General features: G+C 55.7%; 1 protein-coding gene and 1 long non-coding RNA gene across 11 annotated transcripts in view, besides 13 other annotated features; one reads left to right on the top strand and one right to left on the bottom strand.

Moving 5' to 3' along the window:
• Nucleotides 1–9,635, bottom strand: part of EPHA2 (EPH receptor A2) — a 31,733-nt gene extending 22,098 nt beyond the window's left edge. For 2 of the 6 annotated variants that reach the window (NM_004431.5, XM_017000537.2), the window contains exons 1-3: nucleotides 9,414–9,635; nucleotides 4,462–4,529; nucleotides 1,944–2,613 (exon numbers count right to left, since the gene is read on the bottom strand). In NM_004431.5, coding sequence (NP_004422.2) covers nucleotides 1,944–2,613; nucleotides 4,462–4,529; nucleotides 9,414–9,498 — 823 coding nt within the window. In that variant the 5' untranslated portion in view covers nucleotides 9,499–9,635. Of the gene's footprint in view, nucleotides 1–1,943; nucleotides 2,614–4,461; nucleotides 4,530–6,678; nucleotides 8,618–9,413 lie in introns of those variants that run through there. The other 4 variants (XM_047448272.1, XM_047448267.1, XM_047448259.1 and 1 more) reach the window with 4 other exon arrangements.
• Nucleotides 58–586: an enhancer, noted in NCBI's record as "H3K27ac-H3K4me1 hESC enhancer chr1:16472987-16473515 (GRCh37/hg19 assembly coordinates)". NCBI's record gives its function as "activates a minimal SCP1, AML or CMV promoter by ChIP-STARR-seq in primed H9 embryonic stem cells {active_cell/tissue: H9 hESC(primed)}" and the evidence as "EXISTENCE:reporter gene assay evidence [ECO:0000049][PMID:30033119]".
• Nucleotides 3,812–4,447: an enhancer, noted in NCBI's record as "H3K27ac-H3K4me1 hESC enhancer chr1:16476741-16477376 (GRCh37/hg19 assembly coordinates)". NCBI's record gives its function as "activates a minimal SCP1, AML or CMV promoter by ChIP-STARR-seq in primed H9 embryonic stem cells {active_cell/tissue: H9 hESC(primed)}" and the evidence as "EXISTENCE:reporter gene assay evidence [ECO:0000049][PMID:30033119]".
• Nucleotides 4,448–5,083: an enhancer, noted in NCBI's record as "H3K27ac-H3K4me1 hESC enhancer chr1:16477377-16478012 (GRCh37/hg19 assembly coordinates)". NCBI's record gives its function as "activates a minimal SCP1, AML or CMV promoter by ChIP-STARR-seq in naive H9 embryonic stem cells {active_cell/tissue: H9 hESC(naive)}" and the evidence as "EXISTENCE:reporter gene assay evidence [ECO:0000049][PMID:30033119]".
• Nucleotides 8,781–20,308, top strand: EPHA2-AS1 (EPHA2 antisense RNA 1). 5 transcript variants are annotated; one of them, NR_187273.1, is made up of 3 exons: nucleotides 8,781–9,321; nucleotides 10,537–10,745; nucleotides 18,037–20,308. It is a non-coding gene; the product is annotated as an EPHA2 antisense RNA 1 (long non-coding RNA). The 5 variants fall into 5 exon arrangements; NR_187275.1 differs by having other exon boundaries at nucleotides 18,322–20,308; NR_187272.1 differs by lacking the exon at nucleotides 18,037–20,308 and adding an exon at nucleotides 15,067–16,459.
• Nucleotides 15,611–16,139: an enhancer, noted in NCBI's record as "H3K4me1 hESC enhancer chr1:16488540-16489068 (GRCh37/hg19 assembly coordinates)". NCBI's record gives its function as "activates a minimal SCP1, AML or CMV promoter by ChIP-STARR-seq in naive H9 embryonic stem cells {active_cell/tissue: H9 hESC(naive)}" and the evidence as "EXISTENCE:reporter gene assay evidence [ECO:0000049][PMID:30033119]".
• Nucleotides 15,611–16,667: a biological region, named in NCBI's record as "hESC enhancers GRCh37_chr1:16488540-16489068 and GRCh37_chr1:16489069-16489596".
• Nucleotides 15,992–16,061: an enhancer, noted in NCBI's record as "active region_260". NCBI's record gives its function as "activates an Ori minimal core promoter by ATAC-STARR-seq in GM12878 lymphoblastoid cells {active_cell/tissue: GM12878}" and the evidence as "EXISTENCE:reporter gene assay evidence [ECO:0000049][PMID:35858748]".
• Nucleotides 16,000–16,294: an enhancer, noted in NCBI's record as "tiled region #8013; K562 Activating DNase unmatched - State 5:Enh, and HepG2 Activating non-DNase unmatched - State 9:DNaseU". NCBI's record gives its function as "activates a minimal TATA promoter and a strong SV40 promoter by Sharpr-MPRA in K562 cells, with weaker activity in HepG2 cells {active_cell/tissue: K562 | HepG2}" and the evidence as "EXISTENCE:reporter gene assay evidence [ECO:0000049][PMID:27701403]".
• Nucleotides 16,140–16,667: an enhancer, noted in NCBI's record as "H3K27ac-H3K4me1 hESC enhancer chr1:16489069-16489596 (GRCh37/hg19 assembly coordinates)". NCBI's record gives its function as "activates a minimal SCP1, AML or CMV promoter by ChIP-STARR-seq in naive H9 embryonic stem cells {active_cell/tissue: H9 hESC(naive)}" and the evidence as "EXISTENCE:reporter gene assay evidence [ECO:0000049][PMID:30033119]".
• Nucleotides 16,668–17,195: an enhancer, noted in NCBI's record as "H3K27ac-H3K4me1 hESC enhancer chr1:16489597-16490124 (GRCh37/hg19 assembly coordinates)". NCBI's record gives its function as "activates a minimal SCP1, AML or CMV promoter by ChIP-STARR-seq in primed H9 embryonic stem cells {active_cell/tissue: H9 hESC(primed)}" and the evidence as "EXISTENCE:reporter gene assay evidence [ECO:0000049][PMID:30033119]".
• Nucleotides 17,196–17,723: an enhancer, noted in NCBI's record as "H3K27ac-H3K4me1 hESC enhancer chr1:16490125-16490652 (GRCh37/hg19 assembly coordinates)". NCBI's record gives its function as "activates a minimal SCP1, AML or CMV promoter by ChIP-STARR-seq in primed H9 embryonic stem cells {active_cell/tissue: H9 hESC(primed)}" and the evidence as "EXISTENCE:reporter gene assay evidence [ECO:0000049][PMID:30033119]".
• Nucleotides 18,676–19,616: an enhancer, noted in NCBI's record as "H3K27ac-H3K4me1 hESC enhancer chr1:16491605-16492545 (GRCh37/hg19 assembly coordinates)". NCBI's record gives its function as "activates a minimal SCP1, AML or CMV promoter by ChIP-STARR-seq in naive H9 embryonic stem cells {active_cell/tissue: H9 hESC(naive)}" and the evidence as "EXISTENCE:reporter gene assay evidence [ECO:0000049][PMID:30033119]".
• Nucleotides 21,316–21,715: a silencer, noted in NCBI's record as "silent region_324". NCBI's record gives its function as "represses an Ori minimal core promoter by ATAC-STARR-seq in GM12878 lymphoblastoid cells {active_cell/tissue: GM12878}" and the evidence as "EXISTENCE:reporter gene assay evidence [ECO:0000049][PMID:35858748]".
• Nucleotides 21,904–22,549: an enhancer, noted in NCBI's record as "H3K27ac-H3K4me1 hESC enhancer chr1:16494833-16495478 (GRCh37/hg19 assembly coordinates)". NCBI's record gives its function as "activates a minimal SCP1, AML or CMV promoter by ChIP-STARR-seq in naive and primed H9 embryonic stem cells {active_cell/tissue: H9 hESC(naive and primed)}" and the evidence as "EXISTENCE:reporter gene assay evidence [ECO:0000049][PMID:30033119]".

The raw sequence follows: 27,942 nt of genomic DNA on the forward strand, positions 1-27,942 counted from the left end.
AGTTTTCAGCTGCCCCTCACCCCCACCCCCGCATTCTTGTGCGAGGATGTCATGTGGGAGGAGCCTGCTCGCCCCACTGGGCTGCCTCGTCCCGGCCCCCTCAACCGCACTCATTGTCTGAAACTGAGAGTATGCATTCGAGGTCACCTAAAGCAGGGGCCGCCTGGGGAAGGGGGGCTCGCTCAGCAGAGGGGAGCTGGGAAGACAAGGGGGCGATGGCATGGGCCGGAGCAGAGCCTACACCACAGGCTTATGGCCAGAAAGCTCGTAGGGAACTTCTCATCGGGGGGTTTACAGACCGTGTTAAGTAAGGTTCTGAGGACTTGCTTTAGGAGGCAAGTAGGGCCCATCACAAAGGGCTTCAGTGTCCTCCAACCCTTCAACCCCCTCCAGGGGCTGCAGGATCCATGGCTAGAAAACAAGCATAAAGTCTGCTGGTGCTGTTGAACTTTCTCATTTTACTCAAAGGAAACCCAAGACCAGAGATGAGGGGGGAGTTAGCCAAGGTGTGTGCAACGCAGCCACTAAACCTCCAATTCCTTAACGTCCCGCTTATCTCAGCAAAGAAGCTGCCAGAGAGAGGGAATGAGCCAGCCCTCCAAAGGTTGGCCTGCATTCCACAAATGCTCTGCCTCATGGCCATTTCCAGAAAAAGTCACCCATTGAAAATCCACATTGCTGTGGAGATTTCCGCTGTCACAGGCCCTGGCCACACCACGCCACGGCTTCCTCCATGTGAACTCACTAATGCCCAAGCCTCATTCCCCAAGGAGAGTCTGAATGAATTGGCCCTTTTCTGGGCCCAGTGTGTCATCTATAGAGGCCCCAGTGGAAAATCAATAGAGGTCCCAATGGGAAATTTGTGGCCCTGGGGACATTCAGACAAGAAAGGCAGACCCTTGGCCCCCCTCCAACCTCTCCCTCAACAGAAGCATTTCCCAAAAGCTCCGCGGGTGATCCTGATATGCAGCCAGGGGATGTGCACCCCGGGTCCAACTCAGTCACTTCTATGTACGAAAGAGGAGTTTGAGGCCCAGGGAGTTTAAGTATCTTGCCTAAGGCCACATAGTGAGCTGATAACAGACATGGAACTTGCTCCTGGTACTCCACCGTGGGACCACAGTGCCGCTGTACCAGAGCTACTCAGTATACATTCGTGGGATGAATCAAAAATAACAGCCACATTTAAAAGTACTCATGTGGCAGGCACTGACCTAAGCACTTTACTATTAAGTCATTTGATTATCACAGCCACCCTACGAGATAGACGCTATGATCCTCTCCATTTTACAGATGAGGAAACCCAGGCACAGAGAGGTCAAGGAAATGGCCTAAAGCCACACAGCTAAAAATGTAGACCTGGGATTTGAACACAGGCATTCTTGTTTCAGAGTCATCAATCATAAACTCCACATTCTGCTGTTTCTCAATTCATTCATTCTTTTTTTTTTTTTCAGACAAGCATCTCCTCTGTCACCCCAGGCTGGAGTACAGTGGTGCGATCTCAGCTTACTGCATCCTCCACCTCCCGGGTTCAAGCAATTGATTCTCGTGCTTCAGCCTCCCAAGTAGCTGGGATTACAGGTGCATGCCACCACACCCAGCTAATTTTTGTGTTTTTGGTAGAGACGGCGTTTCATTATGTTGCCCAGGCTGGTCTCAAACTCCTGGGCTCAAGTGATCCACCCACCTCAGCCTCCCAAAGTGCTGGGATTACAGGCATGAGCCACCGTGCCCAGCCACAATTCATTCATTCTTAATGAATGAGTTAGTCCAGCCTTAATAAGGAAACTGATGTCTGGGAAGGATCTATAATTTCCACTAACAGAACTAATGTGTGTCAAAGCAGGGATGAGCTTACCAAGATTCCATGATTCCAAAGCTAAAGACCAGAACCTGGGAATGCAGAACCCCCTTCCCTGCAACCCAGAACCGTCACTCACCCTGGCAGGCATCCTCCACCTTCTCGTAGCCTGCCTGGCACAGGCACTGCCCAATGGGCACCAGCCACTCGCCATCCACTGCACAGTGCATACGGGGCTCTTCACCCCCCGGTGGCACCACGGCATGGTCCACACAGGTGCCGGCCACAGTGGCCAGGGAAGGTGCATCAGAGCCGGCGATGGTCTCAGGGAAGTGGGCCAGGCCCTGCAGCAGCTCGGGGCACTTCTTGTAGTAGACACGGACGGAGAGCAGCGCCACACAGGCACCGATATCCTGGAAGGCCAGGTAGAAGCCTTTGCGGGTGAGCGGCCCCACGGAGCGCTCCTCCACGTTCAGCTTCACGTGGCGTGCCTCGAAGTCGCTGCTGACGGTGATCTCATCGGGCGCAATGGTGTCAATCTTGGTGAACAGGCGCTTCTGGAAGTTGGTGCCGTAGTCCAGGTCCGACTCGGCATAGTAGAGGTTGAAAGTCTCCTTGCAGGAGCTGGCGCCACCAGGGAAGCTGTTGCAGTCACGTACAGTAAACTTGAGCTCAATGAAGATACGCTCAGCCTCTCCTCGGTACACCCAGTTGGTGCGGAGCCAGTTGTCCTGGTCGCCAGACATCACGTTGCACACGGAGTACATGTAGATCGGCATGTCATTCATGATGTTCTGCATCAGGTCCCACTGTGGGGGGAAGATACAGGTTAGTGTGGGCAGGTGCCTGGGGAAACTGAGGCCCAGGTGGCAGAGTAGGGCACTAGGAAGATGCTTTCCAGTTCGTGCTCTCCGGGTTCTACGGTGAAGGAAACTGAGGCCTGAGGCGGGTGGGGGCTGCATCCATAAGTGGCTGAGCTGGAATCTGGCCCCTGGTCTTTCTGGCACATGTCTGGAAGCCAAACCTCTCTATTAGGTTGTGAGCCTGCAGGTGGAGTCCGGGACTCCATGTGACCTCAGGTGGGTTATGCTCTCTAAGCCGCAATTTCCTCATCTGTACAATGGGAGCAAGACCCCCTACCTCACAGAATTGCTGTGAGGATAAAGGACAGAATGTCTACACTGGCTGAACACAGTGCTTGGCACAAGGTAACAGGCATACGGGCAGCCAGTATGATTATTGTTACTCTTGGTATTATTCACCATGCACCCATGTGTGTTGGCAAACGCAGGAGTGGCATTAAGTCAAAAACAACGGATGATGCTCTCCGTCATTTAGAATTTGGCTTTGCAGCAGATGAACATGTTCCTCCCTCCCTGGATCATAACTCAGCCTTCTCCAGAAAGAATTCCCAGGTTAGGCTACAGTTGGGCCAGGTGCCCCCCGCCACCCAACTCCCAAAGTTGCCATGTTCCCTTTACCCTGTACCCCTTGCCATTTACCAAAGTGCACTTGGCACGGCACATGGGGACACCCACATCTGGGCTCCCACATGAGATTCTGAGCTCCTCAGCCAGAGTCTGCATCTAATTCACCTGTGTCCTGTGTCCCGAGAGCCGGCCTGAGACAGAGTAGGTGCTCAGGGAAGCGTTTGTTGAATGAATAAACAAAAGAATGAATGAAAGCACAGGGGAGGAGGACAGAGGCCCGGGCTATACTGTGTGGCGTTGGCCAAGGCCCTACATGCCCTTGGGCCTCAGTTTCCCACTCTGTATAAAGACTGGGTTGTATTAGGTGACCCGTGTTCCCTCCCAGCTAGACTTCCAGGATCCTAGAAACCTGCTCAGGGCTACACCCCAGCCAAGCCTGCCCAGAGCTAGGGTGACCGGGGACAAGAACTCGACTCATGCAGATCTGGCCAGCTCTGGGAACTATTCCAAGTAGCCCCTGGGAGACAGCCCCCTTTCTCAGCTCAGGGTCCCAGGACAAACTCAGCAAGGGCCCATTGTATAGAGAGGGAAACTGAGGCCCCGAGAGCCACATCTTCCCCAAGATCACACAGCAGACACACACAGCCAGGGGAAGAACCCCCAGCCCCTGCCCCCATTCCTGGTCACATCAGGACGGCATAGAGGGGAAGACCTGGGTGAGAATGAGGCAGAGAAATGCAGCCCCCCACAGGAAGGGGAAGCAACAGCTAGAGGTGGGAAAGGGGCGGGCAGGAAGGAACTTGATCAGGTTTTCCTGTTCCCTGTCTCTTCTTCACCCCTCACCTCCTGGGCTGAGACCTCAAGACAGGGGGCATCTTTAACCCCTTCCCTCCCAAGAGGTGGATGGGTGGTGCCAGAGATCCCTCTGACTGTCAGCCCTTCTGGAACATGGAAGGCCCAGCTCCGCTAGGGCCTTCTCTGTCTCCCCAGTTCCCCCCACCTCTCAGGCTTACACCCACACCCTCGTACCTTCCCACGCCCATCCAGCCCTGGCCTGGGCCGGCTGACTCTGAGCCTGGTGTGAGAAGCTGGACCCTGAGCCTGAGACCTGGCTGAGCTGCTGAATTGAAGCCAGGCCCCACGCTCCCTGGGCCTCAGTTTCTCCATCTCTACAGGGGACCAGCAGCCCCATTCTCACACCTCTCCCCACCCCGAAGGCTTACATACCCCTTTGCCATACGGGTGTGTGAGCCAGCCGAGCTCCCCTCCAGCTGCAGCAAAGTCCAGCAGTACCACTGAAAGGGAGAAGGGAGAGGGGGTGAGCCTGGGGGTGTCTTCAGGAGTCAGACCATGGCAGGAAAGGTGAGGATCCCTCCAGGAACCCCAACTCTCAGACAGAGCGAGAGGGACCCCACCACACAGGGTCACCATATCCAAGAAAATCATCCCTCGACTCATGAGGGAAACAGGCCCAGAAAAAGGATGGAACCCAGCTGAAGGCACACAGCAGGCTGGGGTCAGGACTGGGCCTCCAGTCTCCCAGGCCAGGATTCCAGCCATCCTGTCCCCCTCCGTTAGTCCCCAGCTGGGCAGAGCAGGCCAGGGAGCTCAGCCCGGCAGGAGAACAGCAGCTGGGCAGAGAGCTGGGCTGAGCAGGGTATTAAGTGACACCACACCGCCCCCTCTGCTTCCTTGAACAAGGCCCTTTGGCAGCACTTCACGTGCATGTGGGCCTTAGGGACACTGGTGTCTGCTTCTGCCACATTCCCCCCAGCAGGAAACACACCAACCCCACTCAGGTCATGTAGCACACACATATGCACCTATATGTACACGTGCATCTTGCGGTACTCCAAGAAGAGAGTGCTGTGAACAGGTGGGAACAGCTCCAGGGTGGAGGAGGGAAGAGGGTATCTGGAAACCGATCTTCTCACCACAAAAGCCACAGAGCAGGCAGGATAAAGCCCTGGACCCATAGGGCCCCTAAGAGGGGCCCAAAGATACACACAGCTGGTGAGGTCCCCTCCCTGGGAAAGTCACTCCCACCACCCCTGCCCCTCACATCCTGACCACTGCCCTGCCAGGGGTGCCAGAGGTTCCTGGGGGATCAGGAATAAAAGCCCTTGTAGGGGACATTCTAGGCCCAGAGACCAGGTGTCAGGACCATCCTGTTCCCAGAGAGGCAACTGGAGCCTGGCGGAGGGATACACTCCCGGGGTCTTCCCTAGACCTAGTCCTGCCATTGGGCACCTCCCACTGATCCACCCCAGGTTCTCTGCCAGGCTCAGAGGCCATAGACAAAACCTAAGACCCTAGGTACTGTCCCCACTCTATTTCCAAGTAAAGTCCAGGTAGCTGCCAATAAGTGCTACCCTCCCTAGAGGGTAAGGAGATAGGAGAAACCGGGGCATAGAACCTATGCAAGATGGATTCAGAGGGTAAAGCCCTAAGGTGGGGGTAAAGAAACCAAGTCAATGCTTCCTTTGGGCCCTGGAGCATGAGGGATCTGCCTCAGAAGCCCCATTCCTCAAGGCCAGGACCGGAGAAGGACTCAAAGGGTGGACAGAGCTCCAGGCAGGCTGGGAGCAGGGATGGCCTGGTTTGTGGAGATGGGAGCTGGGCTCTGAGGGTGGTCTTGAAGACCGCCTCCTGAAGTGACATGGCCCTCCTACCTGGGCTGAAGGCCCCCAGGCTGGGGCGTGAAATGCTGCCACCCCCACTACTGACCGGGGCCAAACCTCTCTAGGAAGGGTCAGGCAGCCCAGACAGGCAAGAGGAAATCCAATGTGACACCGGCCCCATGACAGAGGCTGTGGGGATAGGGGAGGGTGGCTGGGGGCAGCGGGGTGGGCAGGGGCAGGGATTTGTTCAGACATGCCCAGGGCCGGGGCTTTGAAACTCACTAACCCCACTAGCAAATGGAATGTTCCAGCTACACAGGAAGGAATCTGGAGGCTCCTGATTTCAGCTGGGTGGGTAGAAGGACAAAGGTTCCTCACAGTCCTGCAGCCCCCCCTTAGATTGACAGGAGGCTGAGGTCTGTGCCCAAGTGAGAGGGCTCACCGCTACCAGGCTTCTGAAGGGTTAACCTGGCATGGAGGGCCCTCCCTTTCCAGCCTAGGCCTGGCTCTAGAAGTAGCACAGGGCTCAATCGGAGAAGAAAAGAAGCCCTCACACAGGAAGGAGCCCCCCCTGCAGGGGTTTCCAACCCCGGCCCCCTCCCAGGGAAATTCCCTCGAACCAACCACCAGGAACAGGAGGCGCCCAGCGCTGGGTCCCTCCGCCCTGACGCGGGCGCGGCTCTTTCCCCAGGTTCTTCCAGGGACAGAGGCTCCCGCTTCTCTGGAAAGGGTGGGAGCCTGGGAGCCCCTCGGCTGACCCAGACGGCTTCCTGGAGAGGCTTAGGCTAAGCAGGGCTTATCCATGAGCTCTCTATCCCCTTACCTTCCCATTTCTGGGGGGAAAAAAAAAAAGCAAAAAACACCTCCTTCTTTGCCATGAGTTCCACCGTAAGTGCCATCTTTGTGGGTCCACATTGCTCCACAGCTTCTTCCACAAATGCAGGACTGCCACCCACTCCCGGTCTCCGGTCCTTCTCCGCAGCCTCCGAGGCTGTGGTTCCCTCCCCGCTTCCCCCATTCCTCTCTAACCAAGACTAGCTAATCCCTAAAGGAAGCAGGGAGGTGGGGACTCTGGGGAAAACATGAAAGAAAAGGGAAAGGGGACAGAGGGCAGACTTGGCCCCGGTAGAACCAGAAACCAAGGACTTCCTGGCACTCTCCAGCCCTCTTCCCATCAGCAGCACCCCAGCTCAGCACCCCCTGCCACCCGCCCAGGCCCCTGCCCAGCTATGCCTGCTTCCCAGGAAAATCTACCATGACACCAACCACAAAGCAGGCAGGGCCTTGGCTCTGGCAGCCAAGAAGCGGGATGCTCAGGTCTGGTCCTCTGTCCAGAAGGCCCTGGTTGGCAAGGGCTCGGGCCTCCCTCAGTTTCCCCATTTGTAAAAATGAGGGCAGATTCAGTGGCTGTTGATGACCTAACAGGAGCCACGTGGGCAACCAAGTATAGCCTAGGGGTGAGGGGGCAAGAAAGAAGTCTGAAGCAGCCTGGGGGTAGGTGAAAAAGGCACCTGTGTCCTCCTGCCTGCCCCCTAAGCCACCCCCAGGCAGACCCACCACATACAGCCTGATTCCCAGGAACTGAAACCAGCAGCTGCCAGCTAGGCCATCATGCCCACCCCCACCTAGGCACACTTCTCTAGGGACTCTTTCACGGGGACTCAGAGTCGAAGCAAAAATGTACCCCCACCCCAGTGCAATACACAAGCCTTTCCCCCTGCATCCCATGGGGTGTGGGGGTGGGGTTTAATCACACAGGCTGGGGAGAGGTGGACACAGGGGACAAGGACAAGGCAGCTCCAGGCTTCCAGGCCAGCTTGGGGACTGCAGCAGCAAAGCACCCGCCTAATCCCCCACCCCCCCATGGGCAGCCGAGGAGAAAGGCCTATAGTGATTCCAGCTGTCTCTCCCCTTCTCTCCAACCACAGTCCCCCAGGAAGGGGGAGGACCAAACGTTGGTGGGGCGGATATTGAGGGTGGCAGAAATCCTTGCCATGAGCTCCTGCAACCAGAAGTCCCGGTTGAGACCCCAACCCGGGCCCTGTCACTCCAGAGACTGAGACAGGATGCCACCCCCAACACCTGCCACTGCCCAACGGCTCCAGATCCGGCCTCTTTTCCTCCCAACACAGAACAGCAAAACCTCCAAACCCAGTTTGGGAGGCAGAAAAAGAAGGAAACAGGCCGGGGGTGGTGGCTCATGCCTGTAATCGCAGCACTTTGGGAGGCCGCGGCGGGTGGATCACCTGAGGTCAGGAGTTCAGAATCAGCCTGGCCAACATGGTGAAACCTCGTCTCCACTAAAAGATGCAAAAATTAGACGCGCCTGGTGGCGGGCACCTGTAATCCCAGCTACTAGGGAGGCTTGAGACAGGAGAATAGCTTGAACCCGGGAGGCAGAGGTTGCAGTGAGCCGAGATTGCGCCATTGCACTCCAGTCTGGGCAACAAGTGCGAAACTCCGTCTCAAAAAAAAAAAAAAAAAAAAAAAAGAAGGAAACTTCTCACCGGCCCAAGTTTCCTCCCGGCTTCCCCCTTGTGGAGCCTGCGGAAACCTCGCTCTGCCCAGGCAGGAGGGGAAGCCTTGCCCTCACTGTTGGAAATTGAAGCTGGCCTGGGCTGGGTGGACAGGAAGGTCTTCGGCCAGGGCAGGAGCCCCCATCCTCGCCCTGACCCTAGCGGAGGGACAACACCCCCACCACGCACCCGCTGCGCCATGAGCAAAGTCTGCGGCCCCTCACTCGGCGCGGCTCCGGGAACACTGGGGCGGGGGTGGGTGATTCAGTCCCCCACCCCCGGGTGTCCTGACTCCCTGGTGGCCCTGGGCTGACAGCTCCACACCTTGGGAGGCCGCACCCCCACCTGCCGCATTTCCTCGTTCTGAGTCACCCTTGCTCAGAACGCTTGACTTTGGGACTTCCTGTCCGCACTCGCGGCCCCTAACCTGCCCCGGGAGCCCGGGAGTGCGGCTTGGGAAGGAGGGAAAGGAGTGTGTGAGCAGGGATTGGCCCGAACCTATCTCCACGCTCTCCCCCGGGACTGGAGGTGAAGGGGGGCGTGGAGAAAATCTCAGGGAACAGGGGCTTCGACAGGGGGCTCCCGCCCGCCCGAGCCCCCTCCCCAAAATGCGAGGCCTGCACAGTATGCCTTCTCCGCAAAACCTCGGCAAGCGGGTTAGTGAATTCAGGTCACTAAGAAGCTGAGCCCGCGGAAAGCTGCCCAAACACCCCCTTCTCTAGGGGACTCCCCACGCCCCCCGCCGGGACGCGTTCCCGAAGTCGCCGCCTGGACTGCAACCGCGTGGCCTGCGCCGCGTCCTCTTCTCCGCAGCCTCCGAGGCCCGTGCGACCAAGCTGAAACCGCTTATTCTCCGGAGCCCCTATGACCCCGGGTGGGGGCCAGGGCTCGCCTCGATCGCAGCCCGTGCGCCCTCCGGACTCCAGTTCGCCGGGACTGGGCGACACCAGGTAGGTTCCAAAGTTGCGCGCGTCAAGGAGCGCCGGGCTCTAGGGGGCACTGGGGCCCGGGGGCCAGGGGTCCAGACGCCGCGCGCACTCACCTTCCTTGCCCTGCGCCGCCGCGGCCGCGGCCAGCGCACAGCCCCACAGCAGGGCGAAGCAGGCGCGGGCTGCCTGGAGCTCCATGCCGCGCTTCTCGCTCTCGGTCCGATCCCCCCGAGCCCGGCTCCCGCACACCCGCACGCCTGCACGCCGGCCTCGGTGTCCGCTCCCGCCCGCCGGCCTGCGCGCAACTTCTGCCCCTCCTGCCCCGAGTCCTTAATGGAAGTTGGGTGAGAACCGACTCCTGTTCATTCATGCCCTGCGTGACGTCACCAACGCCCGCCCTCAGGAATGTCTTTAAAGGGGCCGGGCTGGCACCCGGAGGAGAGGGAGGGGAAGTCCGGAGGGGTTTGGAGGAGGACCTTGGGGCCCTCTGGACTCGCGGGCTCCCCGCAGGCCTTCCAAAGTTTGAGCGTCTCAAAGCGCCAGCGCCCCTACGGATTAGCCCCCAGGGATCTCTGAGCCTGGTATCCTCGGTGGAAACGTTTAATGGTTTTGCGCTGAGCCATACCCATTCTGCCCTTCACCTCTGAGACTGAGCTCAATGCGACTGAGCTCAACGCTGGCCTGAAGGTCTGAGCTGAAATGGATTGGGGGTCCAATAAGCAGTTGCCTCCTAAGCAGCAGGCCTGAGAGAGTGGCCCAGAAATAGACCTGGATGCCCTCCTTCCTAAAACCCTTGAAGAGTATATCAAGCTGCTGATGGTCAAAAAGAGTATCTCTGTTCAGAAGCCTATAAGCCTACTATGATCTGAGAATAGGTTCATTTCCTCTGGGAATGGATCAGACATGCACTATCTTATTTATTAATAATTCTCATCTGGGAGGCAGGGGTCATCATCCCCATGTTACAGAAGAGGAGACTGAGGCTCCAAGAGCAGAAACAACATGCCCAAAGGGTGCACAGCTCACGGGTAGTAGAAGCAGGATTTGAATCCTGGTGGTCTCTGCTTGAACCACTGCTTCTTTTTGGGGAAGGGGGCAAGGGGCACCCCTGGCCCCCGACCCTGGCATGGGTTGATAGGTTTTGACAGTTTGGAGGACACCTGCCTACCACCTGCCCCTTGATAAGGCCTCTTCACAAAACTTCCTCAGACATGAGCTCATCTCCCTTCCTGACAGAAGCGGCTAGTGTGAGTGAAACAAACGGGAAATTTGCTCTGGCCCGCCTGCCCAGCCACCCACGGCTGCCTGTTGGCCAATCACCATTTGACCAGTCCAGGAAGAGCAACTGTGGCAGGCCTGATTTCCTGGGAGGCCCCAGACTCCCTTTGCCTACCTCTTCCTCTCTGACCCCATCCTCGCTTTGATGCCCGGGACCTGCTACCCAGGTACGTGGGTCTTCTCTGCCGGATGTGGACATCTTGGCCTCTCGCCTTGGTGCCTACTCTTGGGAAGCGGGTCCAGACATCTCTCCTGCAGGAAGAGAGGAAGGGTTAATTACAGGCGTTGGGGATAATTAAAGCCTTTGACCAAGAGGATGGGAGGAGAGCCTTGGTCCTCTGAGAGCCTGTGAGTGTGCAAGTGCCTGTGAGAATAAGTGCATGTGTATGAGGGTGTGAGATTTTGTTGAATGTGCATTCGTGTGTATAGACATGAGAGTGTTGATGTATGTATGACTGTGTGTGAGTGTGTGTATGGACATAAGTGTTGTATGTGACTGGGCAGGGTGGCTCAGGCCTGTAATTCCAGCACTTTGGGAGGCCGAGGCAGGCAGATCATTTGAGGTCAGGAGCTCCAGACATGCCTGGCCAACATGGTGAAACCCCGTCTCTACTAAAAATACAAAAAAATTAGCTGGGCGTGGTGCCACTCACCTGTAATCCCATCTACTAAGGAGGCTAAGGCAGGAGAATCACTTGAACCCCAGAGGCAGAGATTGCAGTGAGCCGAGATTGCGCCACTCACTGCACTCCAGCCTGGGCCAGCAAGACTCTGTCTCAAAAAAAAAAAGAAAAAAGTGTTGGTATATGTGTGTATAAGTGTGTGTGCATGGGCATGAGAGGATTTGGGTATGAGTGTGTGTCTGTGTGTGTTTTTGTGGATTGTGTGGATGTGTCTAGATGTGTGTATGAGTGTGCATGTGGGTGTGAGAGATTTGTGTATGAGTGCATGTGAGTGTGGATTTGTGTATGCATGTATTTGTGAGTGTGCCATACTTCACAGTAGATGTGGAGTCAGCCCATGAGTTTCTGAACAAGTTATTTCACTTTTCTGAGCCTCAGTTTGCTCCTGGAAAGATGTAAAGCCTATTTAGGAGAGTTACTGTAAAGATCAAATAAAGTCATGCATGTAAACCACAGGGGCCAGGACTACAGAAAGCACGCATGAAATCTCAGCTGTTACTGGGTTACATGCGGTTCAGCAACAGGAAGCCACATCCGTGGAGAGCAGGGCATGTGTTGTGCCCAGGGCTCTGTGGACAGGCACATGGGGTGTGTGGATGAGTGTGAGCATGTGTGTAGTACGTGGTTTGGATAAGTGTTTTGCATGTTGTATTGGAGCCTCTGGGCTAGGGACACTGGCGTGTGTAAGACTCCATGTGAGTTGTGTGGAAGCCACTGCTTGTACATGTGTGTTACATGCCACTTGCAGGCTCCATCTGTCAGATGTGTCACTAGAGGACACACTGCAGGAGGACAGGGATGTTTGTAGAAAACAGACAGTGCCTGGGCCAGGCGCGGTGGCTCACGCCTGTAATCCCAGCACTTTGGGAGGCCGAGGCAGATAGATCACTTGAGGTCAGGAGTTTGAGACCAAGCTTGTCATCATGGTGAAACCCCGTCTCTACTAAAAATACAAAAATTAGCCGGGCGTGGTGGCGCATGCCCGTAATCCCAGCTGCTCGAGTTGGAGGCAGGAAAGTCGCTTGAACCCAGGAGGTGGAGGTTGCAGTGAGCCGAGACCGCGGCACTGCACTCCAGCCTGGGTGACAGAGCGAGAGCCAAAAACAAAAAAAGAAAACAGACAGTGCCTGATACATACTAGATATTCAGCAAGCCTCCGCTGAATGAATGAACTAATGAGTGAATGACAGTGTTGCGAGTTCTGTGTTGCGTGAAAGTCTCTGTGTGTAGTGTTGGTTGGTCCTTCTGGTGGCAAGTGTGGGTTTCCATGTGTGGCCTCAAAAGGTTGAATCCAAGCACACACACGGCAGGGGTGCAGGCAGGCCCTGATGGCTGTGGGGCGTGTGCCCAGCAGTATGTGCACAAGTTGGGGGCTGAGAGCATAGGGCAGGGTGTTGCTCATCTGCAGCATGTGACGTGAACAGAGGCCTATGGAAAGGAGTGGTATGTCAGGTGGTGGCAAGAGGGTGTTCCACCTGGCTTTTCCCTGGCTTTTAGTCACCCATTTAATGACACACCCTTCCCTCTTTTCCTGTCCGACTCAGAGTCTTTCCCGCTCTAGGTGACTGGGTGCTAAGGAGGAAAGTTCTTCAGTGAGTCTTATAAAGCGGCACCAAAACGCGGTATTTATAGTGACATAATCAGCCCTAATGGAGATGGAATTACCCCATAAAGGCCCCAAGGAGCCCTCAGGGCCTCAGCGCCACTGCAGCAGACAAGGCTCCTGTACAGGCAGGTGGAGCCCGAGTGAGTGTGTGTTTGTGTGTGACTGCCTCTCCTGCCAATCCCTGCCTCCGGCCCACCAGCCTGCTTAGGGGCCCACCTTTGCTAGGACTTAGCTGGGGCTGGGTACTGGGGGCAAGGAGATGACAAAGGTGAATGCTGAAGCCATGGCCTCACTTACCCCACCTTTGATCTGTGCCTGCCTTTGGCCAAGAGCATCAGAAAAAAAATAATGCGGCCTGGGCAATACAGTGAGACCCCATCTCTACAAAAGAAAAAAGAAAAAAAATTAGCTGGGCATGGTGGTGAGCACCCGTGGCCTCAGCTACTCGGGCGGCTGAGGAAGGAGGATTGCTTGAGCCTAGGAGGTCAAGGCTGCAATGAGCCGTGATTGCACCACTGCACTCCAGCCTAGGCAACCAAGTGAGACCCTGTTTCAAAACAAAATTTTTTTAAAAAAAGAAAAGCAAAGAAAAAAACTGTAGCCAATACTTATGAAGCACTACTATGTGCCGGGCCCAGTTCTAGGCACTTATCTGTACTGATCCACTTAGTTCTCATGACACCTTCAGGGAGGTGGCCACTGCTCCTGCCCACATTTTGCAGAAGAGCAAATTTGGAAGTAAAATTTGGAGCTGGCATTCTGGCCCAGACAGGCTAGATCCAGCGCGCACTCTCATGGGTACCTGCCTCAACCATTGCCTCTGAATTCCACTGAACCTGGAGAGCAGTGCCCCGTCCTGGAATGTGCCAACTCTCCGCAGCTGGGATCTTTAAGGTCAGTCTAATTACTACCTCTTGGGTGAAACCCCCAGGGATCAGGCCCCCCCTAGAGCCCCAGGGGCCTCCATGCTACATGCCTACCAGCACCCTGCTCTCAACCAACTGAACTCTTTTTTGTTTTTCAAAGCCTCTGAACTATCTTCTCAACTAGACTGTAAATCCCTCAGAGGCAGGGTATGAATCCAGCAACAGGTAGAACAGTTCCCCACACATTCTGCTCAATAGATGCTAATTTTTTTTTTTTTTTTTTTTTTGAGACAGAGTCTTGCTCTGTCCCCCAGGCTGGAGTGCAGTGGCGCAATCTCAGCTCACTGCAACCTCCACCTCCCGGGTTCAAGTGATTCTCCTGCCTCAGCCTCCTGAGTATCTGGGATTACAGGTGCACGCCACCACACCTGGCTAATTTTTGTATTTTTAGTAGAGACAGGGTTTCACCATGTTGGTCAGGCTGGTCTTGAACTCCTGACCTCATGATCCGCCCTCCTCGGCCTCCTAAAGTGCTGGGATTACAGGCGTAAGCCACTGTGCTTGGCCTTAGATGCTCACATTTGATGGTGACATTCTAAATTAGTTTCCTCCATTCATTTCCTTTTTTTTTAGACGGAGTCTTGCTCTGTCACCGAGGCTGGAATGCAGTGGCGCAACCTCGGCTCACTGCAACCTCCACCTCCCGGGTTCAAGGGATTCTCCTGCCTCAGCTTCCCTAGTTGCTGGGATTACAGGCACACACCACCATGCACAGTTCATTTTTGTATTTTTTAGTGGAGATGGGGTTTCACCACGTTGGCCAGGCTGGTCTTGAACCTCTGACCTCAAGTGATCCTCCCACCTCGGCCTCCCAAAGTGCTGGGATTACAGGCGTGAGCCAGCACGCCCAGCCCCCTCCATTCATTTCTTTTTTTTATTTTTTATTTATTTATTTTTTAGACAGAGTCTCCTTCTGTTGCCAGGCTGGAGTGCAGAGGTTCGATCTCGGCTCACTGCAACCTCCACCTCCTGGGTTCAAGTGATTCTCCTGCCTCAGCCTCCCGAGTAGCTGGGACTACAGGCACGCGGCACCACGCCCAGATTTTTGTATTTTTAGTAGAGACGGGGTTTCAGCATGTTAGCCAGGATGGTCTCCATCACCCTCCCAAAGTGCTGGGATTACAGGCGTGAGCCACCACACCCAGACCCCTCTGTTCATTTCAATCCACATTTCTTGAAGGCCTGCTCTATGCCAGGCCACTTCACCTCTGTAAACTCATTTAATCCTCTCTAGCCCTGGAAGGAAAAGCTAATATTGCCTCCATTTTTGCAGAAACAACGTGAGGCTCAGAGAGAAGAAATGACTAAAATTACACAGCTGGTACATGGCAGAGGTGGAACTAAAAAGTTAAGTGTGTCTACCCCAGAGCCGAGTAGACCTGCTCTTTTTTGAACACTTCCTGGACTTTCATGCCTTTGTCCCAGCTGTGCCCTCTCCCTGGATGCCCCTTCCATCTGGGCAGCTCCTACTAGACCTGCCTTGGCATACATAACACAGGAGAACGGATTGCCAAAGGGTAGGAGAGTGCCTGGTCTATAGTGTGCGCCCAACACAGATTTGGTGAATGAATGAACACTGGGTCCAGCAGACCTGGATTCTTCCATGTAACCCACTGTGTGGCCTTGGTGGAGCCATGCGGGTGCAATAATCCTGGTTTCCACCCTTCAGGGCTGCTGCTGGGACTCAGTGAGATCATCATGTATCTAATGCCCTTTGCTCAGTGCTGGGCACACAGTCAATGCGCATTGAATCTTAGCTATTGCTACCTTTACAATCAATCAAAAGTCACTTCTGAAGAATAGACAGGGCTCCCCCAGGCCAAATAAATAATTCCTCCCGGGACAAACCCCAGCTCTCACTCCCTCCTCTTTAGGCAGGGGGCTCCCTGAAGGACAGAGACCCGGTTTTATTCCATCTTGCCGTCCCCCATGGTGCCGGGCATACAGTGGTGCCCAGTAAACGTGTGTGTTGCACAAACATGCGGTAACTAGGGCCCCATCTTTTTCAAAAGAACACACTCCCCAGGTGCAGCCGCAAAGAGAGACTGTTCAGCTGTTCAGGTGAGGTTTTGGGGTGAAACTCGTCTGAATAATAGTTTTACTGAACACAGCCTCACCCCCAACAAGGAGGCAATTTGAGGTGGGGGTGGGGAGACTTAAATGTGGGCTCCCGGGTTTTAAAGGGGGTAGCGCGGGAGGAAGCCCCCCAATAATTGCGGGGCTTCCCCCACCCCCAGAGCTGGATTAGAGGCTGCGCCACTTCCTTTGGGGCTCGCTCGCGCTTCCTGGGAGCCTTTGATGTGGGTTCTTGGTAGATCCTGCCCGCGGGGCCTGGATGCGGGCGGAGCCTCCGGGCAGGGCGGGGCCTCAGCCTGGGTCCGCACTGGGGAGGCGGCCACCCGGTAGCTTGGGCGGGTTCCGCCCACCTCCCGCCTGTATTTACAGCCCCCTTCCAACATCCCCGACTCCCTGAGGGCGCCCCTCATTCTGCTCGGCCTTGCCTTCCCCATTCGGCCACATCCTCCTCTCTCCCAACTCAGCTTCGACCCCCAAAGCCTTTCCCTAACCATCGGAACCACAGGCTTTTCTCCGGCCTCTGAGTGCCAGTCTTCAACTAGGTGTCTTTTAAAAAATCAAAAAGCATCTCATCCTACGGGATGTGTGTGAAAAAATAAAAATAAAATAAAGAAAAAGGGGGCCGGGCGCGGGAGCTCACGCCTGTAATCCCAGCACTTTGGGAGGCCTAGGCGGGCGGATCACCTGCAGTCAGGAGTTCGAGACCAGCTTGACCAAACTAGAGAAACTCCGTCTCTACTGAAAATACGAAATTAGCCGCGCATGGTGGCGCATGTCTGTAATCCTAGCTACTCTGGAGGCTGAGGCAGGGGAATCTCTTGAACCTGGGAGGTGGAGGTTGCAGTGAGCCGAGATAGCGTCATTGCACTCTTGCCTGGGCAATAACAAGAGCGAAGCTCCATCTCCAAAAAAAAAAAAAGAAGAAAGAAAAAAAGAAAAAGATAGCCCATCGCTCCTCCATTGCAGACCCAAAGGCTGTCAGCTGAATGGAAGGTGCTTCCTCACGACCTTTGGGATAAGTAAATTTGAAGTAATAGAAATAGCCAGCTGGGCGCGGTGGCTCATGCCTGTAATCCCAGCACTTTGGGAGGCTGAGGGGGGCAGATCACCTGAAGTTAGGAGCTCGAGACCAGTCTGGCCAACATGGTGAAACCCCGTCTCTACTAAAAATAATTAGCCAGGCGAGGTGGCGTGCACCTGTAATCCCAGCTACTCAAGGAGGCTGAGGCAGGAGAATAGCTTGAACCCGGGAGGCAGAGTTTGCAGTGAGCTGAGATCGCGCCATTGCACTCCAGTGAGCCGAGATCGCACCATTGCACTCCAGCCTGGGCAACAAGAGCGAAACTCCATCTCAAAAAAAAAATTTTTTTTGAAAAATAGGCCAGGCCTGCCTCAGTGCTCTTACACGTACTGTCCCCTCTGCCTGGATCAGTTTGTGCCCCTGCCCCCAAATTTTCAGGGCTGGCTCCCTCGCCTCCTTCAGATCTCTGTTTGAAGTTCAGCTCATGTCTGCCACATGTCCTAACCACCGTATTTAAAATAGCAGCCTCAGGCCAGGTGCGGTGGCTCACGTCTGTAATCCCAGCACTTTGGGAGGCCAAAGCAGGCAGATCACCTGAGGTTGGGAGTTCGAGACCAGCCTGACCAACGTGGAGAAACCACATCTCTACTAAAAATACAAAATTAGCCGGGCGTGGTGGAGCATGCCTGTAATCCCAGCGACTCTGTCTCAAAATAAAATAAAATAAAATAAATAAAATAAAATAAAATAAAATAAAATAAAATATAAAATAAAATAAAATAAAATAAAATATAGCAGCCTCTCACCCCACTCCACCTCTGGACTCCCTGTCCCCCTTCCTTGCTGTATTTTTCTCCATAGCAATTACCACCACCAGCTGCCACACTCCAGAGATTACCGTTCGTTTGTCTATTGTCTGTCTCCCCCTGCTCACACCACCCCCATTCGTGTGTGAGCTCCAGGAGAAGGGCCGGGGTTGCTGCTGCTCTGTGAGTCATGAACCGTCCCCACCCCCTAGTCTGTCCTACAAATTTGTTAAATGAATGAGCAAATAAACATAGTGGCTTCCCAGCTGACCAGTGATGAAAGCTTACACTGCGTGATCTAGGCTAGTCACTGCTGTCTTTCCCTCCCTCTCCTCATCAGTGCATTGAGAGATGACAGTAGCTCGGCCTCTTAGAGCAGTATGACGATGGCACAAGTTACTATTTGCCAAGCACAGAGCATGACGTCATGCCCAGAAGCCCAGGATACAATCCAGAGACAATGACAAATGGGGGATTCCCGCTTCTGCAGAAGGTGGGGCGACTGGTGCCCAGGGGCCCCCAGGAAGTGCCCTTACCTGACTCCCAGGATCCTCCTCTGTGACCCTGGGGCCTTCCAACCTGCCAGGTACTTTTCCTGTATTATCTTATTTTATCCTCCCAATAGCCTCTGTGAGCAGCACACTCCCCATTTCACAGACAAGGAAACTGAGGCTTACACAAGTGAAGTGACCTGCTCGACGTTGCACAAGGAAGTGGCAAAGTCAGCCTCTGAATCCAAGCCGTTGGGCTCTAAAGGCCCTGATGCCACTCAGCTAACCATGTGGCCTCTGGACATCACTGCCATCTTTTCTCTTACCCTCCTCTCCTCCTTGCACTGTGTTCTGAGGGTCAGCCTGACAACCCGTGTCCCCTGGGCAGATGTGCAGAGGAAGATCAAGTTGTTGTTCGCCAGGGGCCGAGGGCAAATTTCTGGCTTCCCACGGCCACCACTTACTGGGAGTTTCGGATGAGGTGCTTCACTGCCCTGAGCTCTTCTTCCGGGTCAAGTGGGGATAAAAATAAAACAATACCCACCTTGTGGGAAGACATGGGATCCTGAAAAACCTGGCAACGTGCCTGGCACATGGCAAGTACTCCGTAAATGTCAGCTAGGATTATTTTTATCATTGACACCATATTTGGGGGCCCCAGGCTGGCAGAGTACCTGCCAGGTGTCACCCCCTTCCTGAGTCCTGACAGTTTGGCTGCAGGCCTGCGTGGAGGCTTGGAAGGAAGAAGGGAGGAAAGGAGGAAAGGAGGAAAGGAGGAAGGGGTCAGGGAAGCCCCTCTGTTTGTTTTCTGTCTCTGAGAACTTCCCAGTCTGACTCTAGCCCCTTCCCCTCCCTGCAGGCACTAACACACAAGTCCCCCATTCACCAGAAATCTGTCCCAGGCTCCCTGGCTGCCATGCTCCCTGGATAAACCCACCAGGATGCCCTCAGCCCCTGAGGGAAGAGGAGAGAGCTTACACTCCTCCGGGCCCCTATTTCCACGCCCATCACCAGGCCTGGGCCCTCACAAGGCTACACACACACCAGGAAGTGCCAGGAACACAGCCACGCCAGAGCTCTCACAGATGCCTGTGCACACACACACACACACACACACACCTTTCCAGGCAAACTTGCATACACTTTCCTAATGGCCAGGTCTCAGGGGCTCTGTAGGGACCACCTCGGGACAGGACATGGTCTTCCCTCCCCCATTCCCATTCCCCTTCCTGCCCTGTTTCCCTCTGTCTGTCCATCCATCTTCATCAACCAGTCCCAGTGGGCCCCTGCTCACTCCCTCCGTTCCCCCTCCATCCGTCCGTCCACACATGGGTCCATCTGTCTGTCGCCTGCCTGTAGCTAGCCCTGCAGTGAGCAGTCTATCCCTACCCAGCCCTGCCCATCACTTCTGCCACAACACCCCTGCAAGATCCTGTCCCTGTCCTCAGCAGGGTCTCTCATCATTTCTCTAGAACCCACCCATCTATCCCCCCACCCCTTCAGCTGTGTCCTTCATCTGTCAATCTGTCCATCCATCCAGCCATCCATCCATCCATCCATCCATCCATCCATCCATCCAGCCATCCATCCATCCATCCAGCCATCCATCCATCCATCCAGCCATCCATCCTTCCTTCCTTCCTTCTTCCTTCCTTCCCACCTTGGCCCAGCCCCTCTCAGCCCCCTCTGCATCCCATCCATCACTTCTCAGACAGGCCTCCCCAGCCAGGTAGTCACCTCCTAGCGGCTCCATCTGTCTGTCTGTCTACCAACCCATCCATCCATCTGTCTGCCAGCCCATCCATCATGCCACAGGCCACTTGTCCATTCTTGCCACCTTTCACATGTTCCCTAGTTAGGCCCCTGTGGTATCCCCCAGCCAGCGCAGTGTAGGTGGGGGGCGTGTGTTCATGTCAGTAGATATGTCTGTGGCCGCCAGCATGCCTTGTGCTGAGCAGAGGGCAAGGGACCTGGATGAGGAGCTGGGGAGGGGTTGGGGACAGGAAGACTGGGAACCTCTTGGTGGGGGGCACAGCAGCTTCCCTGTGTATTCTCCCTGTGGTCTGTTGCACCATAGGCATCAATGGCCTGCTCAAAAATAAATACACGACTGGAAAACTCTCCCACCTCCATTCTTTTTCCTTTTTGGGGGGGTGGTGGGGACAGAGTCTTGCTTTGTCCTCCAGGCTGGAGTGCAGTGGCACGATCTCAGCCCACTGCAACCTCCACCTCCTGAGTTCAAGCAGTTCTCCTGTCTCAGCCTCCCAAGTTGCTGGGATTACAGGCCTGCGCCACCACGCCTGGCTAATTTTTGTTTTTTGGTTTTGTTTTTTCTTTTCCGGGATGGAGTCTTGCTCTGTCACCCAGGCTGGAGTGCAATGGCCGGATCTTGGCTCACTACAACCTCCGCCTCCCGGATTCAAGTGATTCTCCTGCCTCAGCCTCCCAAGTAGCTGGTATTACAGGCACGCGCCACCACGCCTGGTTAATTTTTGTATTTTTAGCAGAGATGGGGTTTCACCATTTTGGCCAGGCTGGTCTCGAACTCCTGACCTCAGGTGATCCACCTGCCTCTGCCTCCCAAAATGCTGGGATTACCGGCATGAGCCACTGTGCCCGGCTTCCGTTCTTCCTGATTACTTAAGAGGGGCCTGACTAATGCCCAGCATGGTTGGGGACCCAGGCCCCTCAAGCCCTGGAAGTCCCTTGCCTGGGGTCATCCAGTCTCCTCCCTCAAAGGGCTCTCACTCCCCACCGCCGCTCCCTCTCCTCTTCCTGCTGCTGAGAGACGAGAGACCAGCAGAAAGAGACTTGGAGAGACGGAGACACAGAGGCAGATGGAGAATGCTGGGCGCCCGGGAAAGCCCAGGAAGGAGCCCGGGCCACGTGGAGGAGAGGCAGGTGGGAGGAGGCAGGAGAGAGCAAGGCTGCCCAGGACAATGGAGCGGGACCGGAGGAGACGCGGGGAGGGACGCGGGCCAGGGGTGCGGTGGGGGGCACGGGGTGGAACTCCGGGTCCCGTAGGGCGGGGTGGGGGAGTGGGTGGGGGGATGGCCCACCTGCCGTGGGAGCGGGTCCGGAGGAAGCTAGGGTCTCGGGGTGGGAAGTGCTGTGTAGAAGCGAGCGCAAGAGGCGAGAGGAAGCGCGGCGGGGCGGCCCCTGTCCCAGCCTCACCCCCATCCCCCCAAGTCTCGCACCCCGGTCCGCCCCAGCTTCCGGCTCCGCAGGTGCCGCCTTTGAGGGCCGCCGCTCGCAGTTTACCGCGGAGCCGGAGCCAGAGCCCCTTCCCCGCGGCGAGGAACTGCCTCTGCGTCTCGTAAAAGGGGTCTGGGCCTGGGGGGCGGCGGCCTCCGTCGCCATGGAAACCGGGGCGGGGAGGCGGCGGCCCGGAGAGCCCCATGCACTTTGCATACCATTGCAGGTTCCTCCCCTTGGGCCCCGCCAGCCTCGCTGGGCCCGCCTCTCTCTCCGCCCCTCCTCCCCAAACCCATCACCCTTGCCTTTATTTGTCTTAAATTTATTTTAAAATGTATTTATTTATTTTTTTCAAACAGGATCTCGCTCTGTCACCCAGGCCAGAGTGCAGTGGTGCGATCATGACTCTCTACAGCCTTCCATCTCCCCAGGCTCAGGTGATCCTCCCACCCCAGTTTCCCAATAGCTGGGACCACCACGCCTGGCTAATTTTGTGTGTGTGTGTGGTGATGTCGCCCTCTGTCACCCAGGCTGGAGTGCCGTGGCCAGATCTTGGCCCACTGCAACCTCCGCCTCCCAGGTTCAAGCAATTCTCCTGCCTTAGCCTCCTGAGTAGCTGGGATTACAGGCGCGTGCCATCACACCCGGCTAATTTTTTTGGTATTTTTAGTAGAGACGGGGTTTCACCACGTTGACCAGGCTGATCTCAAACTCCTGACCTCGTGATCTGCCTGCCTCAGCCTCCCAAAGTGCTGAGATTACAGGCGTGAGCCACCGTGCCTGGCAATGCCCGGCAATTTTTGTATTATAGAGACAGGGTCTTGCCATGTTGCCCAGGCTGGTGTTAAACTCCTGGACTCAAACAACCTGCCCACCTCCGCCTCCCAAAGTGTTAGGATTACAGGCATGAGCCACTGCACTCGGCCACCCCTGCCTTTAAAAGTCACCTCCTCCAGGAAGCTTTCAGCCACCACCACCACGCCCGGTGGCACCACTGACACTTCATAACAATAATAATTCATCATCACTGTGATCGTGGCTAGGCTTGGCTGAGCTTTGTCTCTGTGCTTCCTTCACCCCCATCTTCTTCTGTCCTCATACCAACCCTGTATGGAGAGGCCACTTTTGTCGATATTTACAAATGAGAAAACTAAAGCTGGTAGGGGGTCTGCTCAAGGTCTCACACCTGGAAAATTCCCTCCTCATTCTAGTCTCAGTGTTCTCATTTGTAAAAAGGGAAGCTCGCACCAGGCGCTTGCCGAGTGACCACGCAAGGGTGGGAATGAGACCGCAGGTTTGTCTGAGCAGGGGCTGAGTGTGGCATTCTGACTCTGAAGGCCTGTAGTCAGGGTATGCATGCTCTAGTTCACCTCAGCCCGGCTGCGTCACACCCCCACTCTGTCCCCCAGTGCATCCCCACCCTTGGGACCCTAAGTGAATCTCTCCAGACCAAGCTCCTAGTGACTCAAGAGACATCTCTAAGGGGTCTTCCAGCTCTGCCATTCTGAAGTCTTAGCTTATTGAGAGGGTGACTCCTTGTGCTGTCTCCCTCCTCTGACTGGATGCTCCTGGGGGTGAGGGGCTGTGCCTCTCCTGTCAGACGGGACACTGCTAAGGGTTAGGACACCTCTGTCACTCCCCTAGGTCTGTGGTCACTAGAAATGCCCAAATCCAGGCTGAAGGCTGACCATGTCTCTCCAAGCACAAGCACACCCCAAGGTGCCCCAGTCCCTTGTCCTGATCCTGAGATCTGAGGTCTACAGGACTGGGTTCTTGGTGGGGAAACCTCCAGCTCTGCCATAAAAAGAAAGCCTCATCCCAGACCTTCAGACCCGTTCCAGCACAGGCTCAGAAGAGGAGAAATGGGCCCAGAGACAACTTCCAGGGCAGCAACACCACAATCATCATCCCTTCTATTTAGTGATCTTGGCTATGTGCCCAAAACCTTTTTTTTTGAGACAGAGTGTCACTCTGTCGCCCAGGCTAGCGTGCAGTGGCATGATCTCAGCCCACTGCAACCTTCATCTCCTGGGTTCAAGTGATTCTCCTGCCTCAGCCTCCTGAGTAGCTGAGATTACAGGCATGCGCCACCATGCCCAGCTGATTTTTGTATTTTTAGTAGAGATGAGTTTTCGCCATTTTGGCCAGGCTGGTCTCGAACTCCTGACCCCAAATGATCTGCCCGCCTCGGCCTCCCAAAGTGCTGGGATTTCAAGCATGAGCCACTATGCCGGGCCATGTGCCCAAAACCTCGTGAATGTGAACAACAGTGCAGGGAGGTGGTTATTTCACGCCCATTACATGGAGAGGGAAACCGAGGCTTAAAGAAGGAAAGTCACTTGACAAGATTACCCCCTGACGAGTGGCAACCCTATTCTTTGACCCGTGCCCTCCTGCCTTTCTGTGTCTCCCAACATATTTCACGCTGACTTGAAACTGGTTGTTGACAAGTTTCCAGTATTGGGCAAGCATCTTCAGGGAAGGGATGGAGCAGGCCTTGGTTTGCTTTTGCTTTGTTTTTGATCTGAGGACCAGTACTCAGCTCAGGCCCTGGGACATAACAAATTTGTTGAAGACACCTGGTAACTATCTGTTTTCTTCCACACTCCAGAGAGGTCCTGCCTTCCCAAGTCAATCCAAGCAGCATTTAGTGAGCACTTACTATTTCCTAGGCACTTTATAAGCAACACACTTGACATAGGTCGTCTCACGGAGTCCACCCCTACCCGCTGCCTCATGATCTCCCAAAGACTATTCATCTCCACATTTTACAAATGAGGAAACTGAGACTCAGGGGCAGAGTTGGGATTTGAAGCCAGATCTATGTGGCTCTCACATGCTTGTACTCCCCTTGTTAACCTGGCATTTCCCCGGGAGAGGGGGCAAGGAAGGGGCACTGAGCCTGTAGATGTGGGAGGCTGCCCCAGAGATAGAATGCTGCTGGTGGAGGGGGTATGAGAGCTCCCTTTGGGGTCCTGCGGTCTTTGCCCCAATCCTCCACCCTTTTTTTTTTTTTTCCTTTGGAGACATAGTCTCACTCTGTTGCCCAGGTTAGAGTGCAGTGGCTCCATCACAGCTCACTGCAGCCTTGAACTCCCGGGTTCAAGCGAACCTCCCACCTCAGTCTCCCGAGTAGTTTGGACCATAGATGTGCACCACCACACCCAGCTCATCTTAAAAATGTTTCTGTGGAGACAGGGTCTCCCTGTATTGCCCAGGCTGGTCTCGAAATCCTGGGCTCAAACAATCCTTCTGCCTCGGCATCTCTAAGTGGTGGGATGACAGGCAGGAGCCGCCACCCCCAGCCCCTCTAACTTCTTATACAGGTGTGTGTGCACTTGGGTGAAGGCGTGCAAGCCAGGACATGGGTGCACATTGCATGTGAGTTCCCAGGTGAATGTTCAGGGTCGTATATGTGTCCACGTCTGACAGTGTGTATGTCCTGAGCAATGGAACTGGGTAGGGGACGGAGGCCCTGGCATACACAGGTGTCACGTGTCCAGGCAAGCCCGTGTTATTATCCTCCTTTTACAGATGAAGAAACTGAGGCATGGGGAAGTGAAGGGATTCGTTGAAAATCATGCAACTAGTGAGTCTGCCCATGGGGGTGTGTGTGTGCAGGTGTGTGTGCATGGTGGGTGGGGTGGAGTGAAGGGGGGGGGGCTGCCTGCAGCTCCAACCCTGTAATAGACCCTCCCTGTCTCGCCAGCGACGGGCGGTAATAACTGTTTTGCCCAGCAGAACTGCCTCATGCCATAGCTTGAGAATGTGCCTCGGGGCCCGTCTGCAGAGACCACCCCCCAGTCAGGGCAGCCGGGCCAGACCTCGCCCAAGCCTGACCCTAGGCTGATCCCTGGGAGGAGTAGGGATCTCTGGGCCCTGCCCTGCCCTGCCTTCCTCACCTCCAAGTTGGCCTCAGCAGGCCCAGCAGGTGAAGGGCCCAGGCCCTGGGCAGCCCTGCGAGTCAGTGCTACGTCTGCCCGCCTCTGCCTTCAGATCACAAACTTCCCGAAGATAAGAGGTGGTGACTCCTCTAGCAGACTGGAGGGCTCTTCCGGAAATGGAGTATATGTCCCCTCCTCAGAGGGCAGAGGCTGTGGCTTCCCCATGAGAGTGGAGGCTTCAGCAGGACAGAGGCCAGGCCTCTGCTATCAGACTAGGAGCTCCCTGAGGGCAGAGGCTGTGGGATATTCCCGGGGCAGAGGTGACCTTCCCCCATCAGACTGGGACCTCAGCTCAGTCCAGCAGCTCTACGGTGAATGTCTCCGAGGGAGGGGCATTAGCACAACAGACACTGCCTCTCAGCCCCGAGTCCCCAGATCCATGTCATCTATTGGAGTCTCCCCCACTGTAAACCTGCAAGGGCAGCCACGGCCGGGAGCAGCTGGTCCTGAGACTTGGGCAGAGGCCCTGGACAGTGGGGCAGAAGCGCTTGGCTGGCCAGGAATTGGATCACTGCCCCCTCCCACCCCACCCCATTCAGCCCTGTCTCCCACGGACTCTGACCACCCCTTGGTTCTCTTATCAAAAACCGCCAAAACCCGCCATCGAAACTCCCAGCCTCCTGACCCCCATGCCCCACCCGGCTCCACCCGTCTTCCCAACCTGGCATCCAGTGCCCCAAACCTGCCTATTCCGTTCCTGGGAAGACCCAGAAGGGAGCAGAGCTGGCACCAGGAGGCCAACAACCCAGGCCCCCTCCGTCCCTAGCCCCTCCTGGCCCTGGGCCCTCCACCCTACTGTTTCTCCTGGGGTGTGCCTTTCTTTGCCTTATGCCTCGGCATCTCTAAGTGGCAGGGGATGGAGTGGAGTGAGGGCGGCAGGCCAAGGGCATGGCCCATAATGAAAAAGGAATCTGGTTGGGCATGGTGGCTCACCCTTGTAATCTCAGCACTTTGGGAGGCCAAGGCAGGCAGATCATGAGGTCAGGAGATCGAGAGCAGCCTAGCCAACATGGTGAAACCCCGTCTCTACTAAAAACACAAAAATTAGCTGGACGTGGTGGTGGGCGCCTGTAATCCCAGCTACTCGGGAGGCTGAGGCAGGAGAATTGCTGGAACCCGGGAGGTGGAGGTTGCAGTGAGCCAGGATCACGCCATTGCACTCCAGCTGGGGCCAACAACAGCAAGACTCCATCTCAAAAAAAAAAAAAAAAAAAAAGAAAAAGGAATCTGAGCATGGAGGCACCCTCCACCTTCGGATTGCTAGGAGATCAATGTCTGGCCCCGAGTGGGTGAGGCCAGCCGAGGTCACTTGAAGGGTATCAGCCCTGAGGAGGAGTTCACGGGGCCTCTTCCTCTCGGCCAACCCCAGCAGAGCTTGGAAACTGAGGCCCAGAGCAGGAGTCCAGGCTCATAGAGCCGGCCTGGCAGAGGAGGGGTGGGGGAGTTGCGTCCCCACCATTCCCACTGGGGCATACAGCGCCTTTCTGAGCGTCACAGGCCTGTCTGTGTCCTTCTTTTGCGGAAGAACTAACCACACCTCAGGTTCCCCTTATGAAAGACAGAGGCTGAGGAGAGTGAGTCAGTTTTATTATATGAGATAAGGCGGCTGGACAAAGCAGCGACACAGGGACTGGCACACAGACAGTGCTCAGCGAAGCAGTCGCCTTCCTTCAGGTCTGAAATCCTCACTCAGCTCCCCAGCTTCTCTGGGGGATCTCCCTTCCCCTCTCTGGACCCCTGGGCCTGACTTCCCCCACTACTCCCAGCCTTTGTCCCACTCCTGCCCCAGGCACCCCTCCCTCCTTCATGGGAAATGGAGCTTCCTCCTCTGGTCCTGCCACCACCTTCCTGGTGAGGGTCGGGCTCTGCTGGGAGTGCCAGAGCTGCCCAGCCTGCTGACTCAGCGCCTGGGGATAGGGCTTGCTTTAGGAACAGCCCAGGCCTCGGGCAAACAGAGCCACGGCAACCACACCCCTGCCACAGGAATGCAGCAACATTCCTGGGGGGTGCCGTGGCACCGTGCCTGTGACTGGGGGGCAGGTGGGGGGCAGGTAGACACCTGCCTCTGTTACCTTGCCACAGGTAGAAGGGAGCCAGGAGTCAGGGCCCAGTGTCCTGGGGCAGGGGGATGGAGTGAGGTCATGAGGCTTTGAAATCTGTACCAGCCATGTGACTTGAACAAGGCCTCTCTGAGCCTCAGTTTCCTCACCTGTAAGGTGAAGGGAGAATAGCGGTAGCCTTCTGGTGGGCTTATGGGGAGGACTGAACGAGAGTGCGCCCGTCTGGGGCTCAGCATCAGCCTGCCTCACCGTGAGGATTCCGTGAAGCAGACCCTCACCCCTGTAATAGAATCAGGGGGTCTTCTGGCTCTGGGCCCTAGAATGGGGCTGAAGCCCAGAGAGGCAGTTGCACCTCCCCTAGGCCACACAGCAGGTATAGGCCCCAGGGGCTGAGTGCCCATCATGCCTGCCCTCCTCTCCATCCACCCAGAGCCTCACTAGCCAGACCCGCACTCTCCCATCCCCTGGGCAAGTCTGCACCCCAGGTCGGTGAGGACTCCCAGATTCTACTCCCACCAGCCAGGGCCAGACCTGGTGCAGGAGGCTCCACAGTTCT

Source organism: Homo sapiens, chromosome 1 (assembly GCF_000001405.40).
Source record: "Homo sapiens chromosome 1, GRCh38.p14 Primary Assembly".
In the NCBI taxonomy this organism is placed as follows: Eukaryota; Metazoa; Chordata; class Mammalia; order Primates; family Hominidae; genus Homo; species Homo sapiens.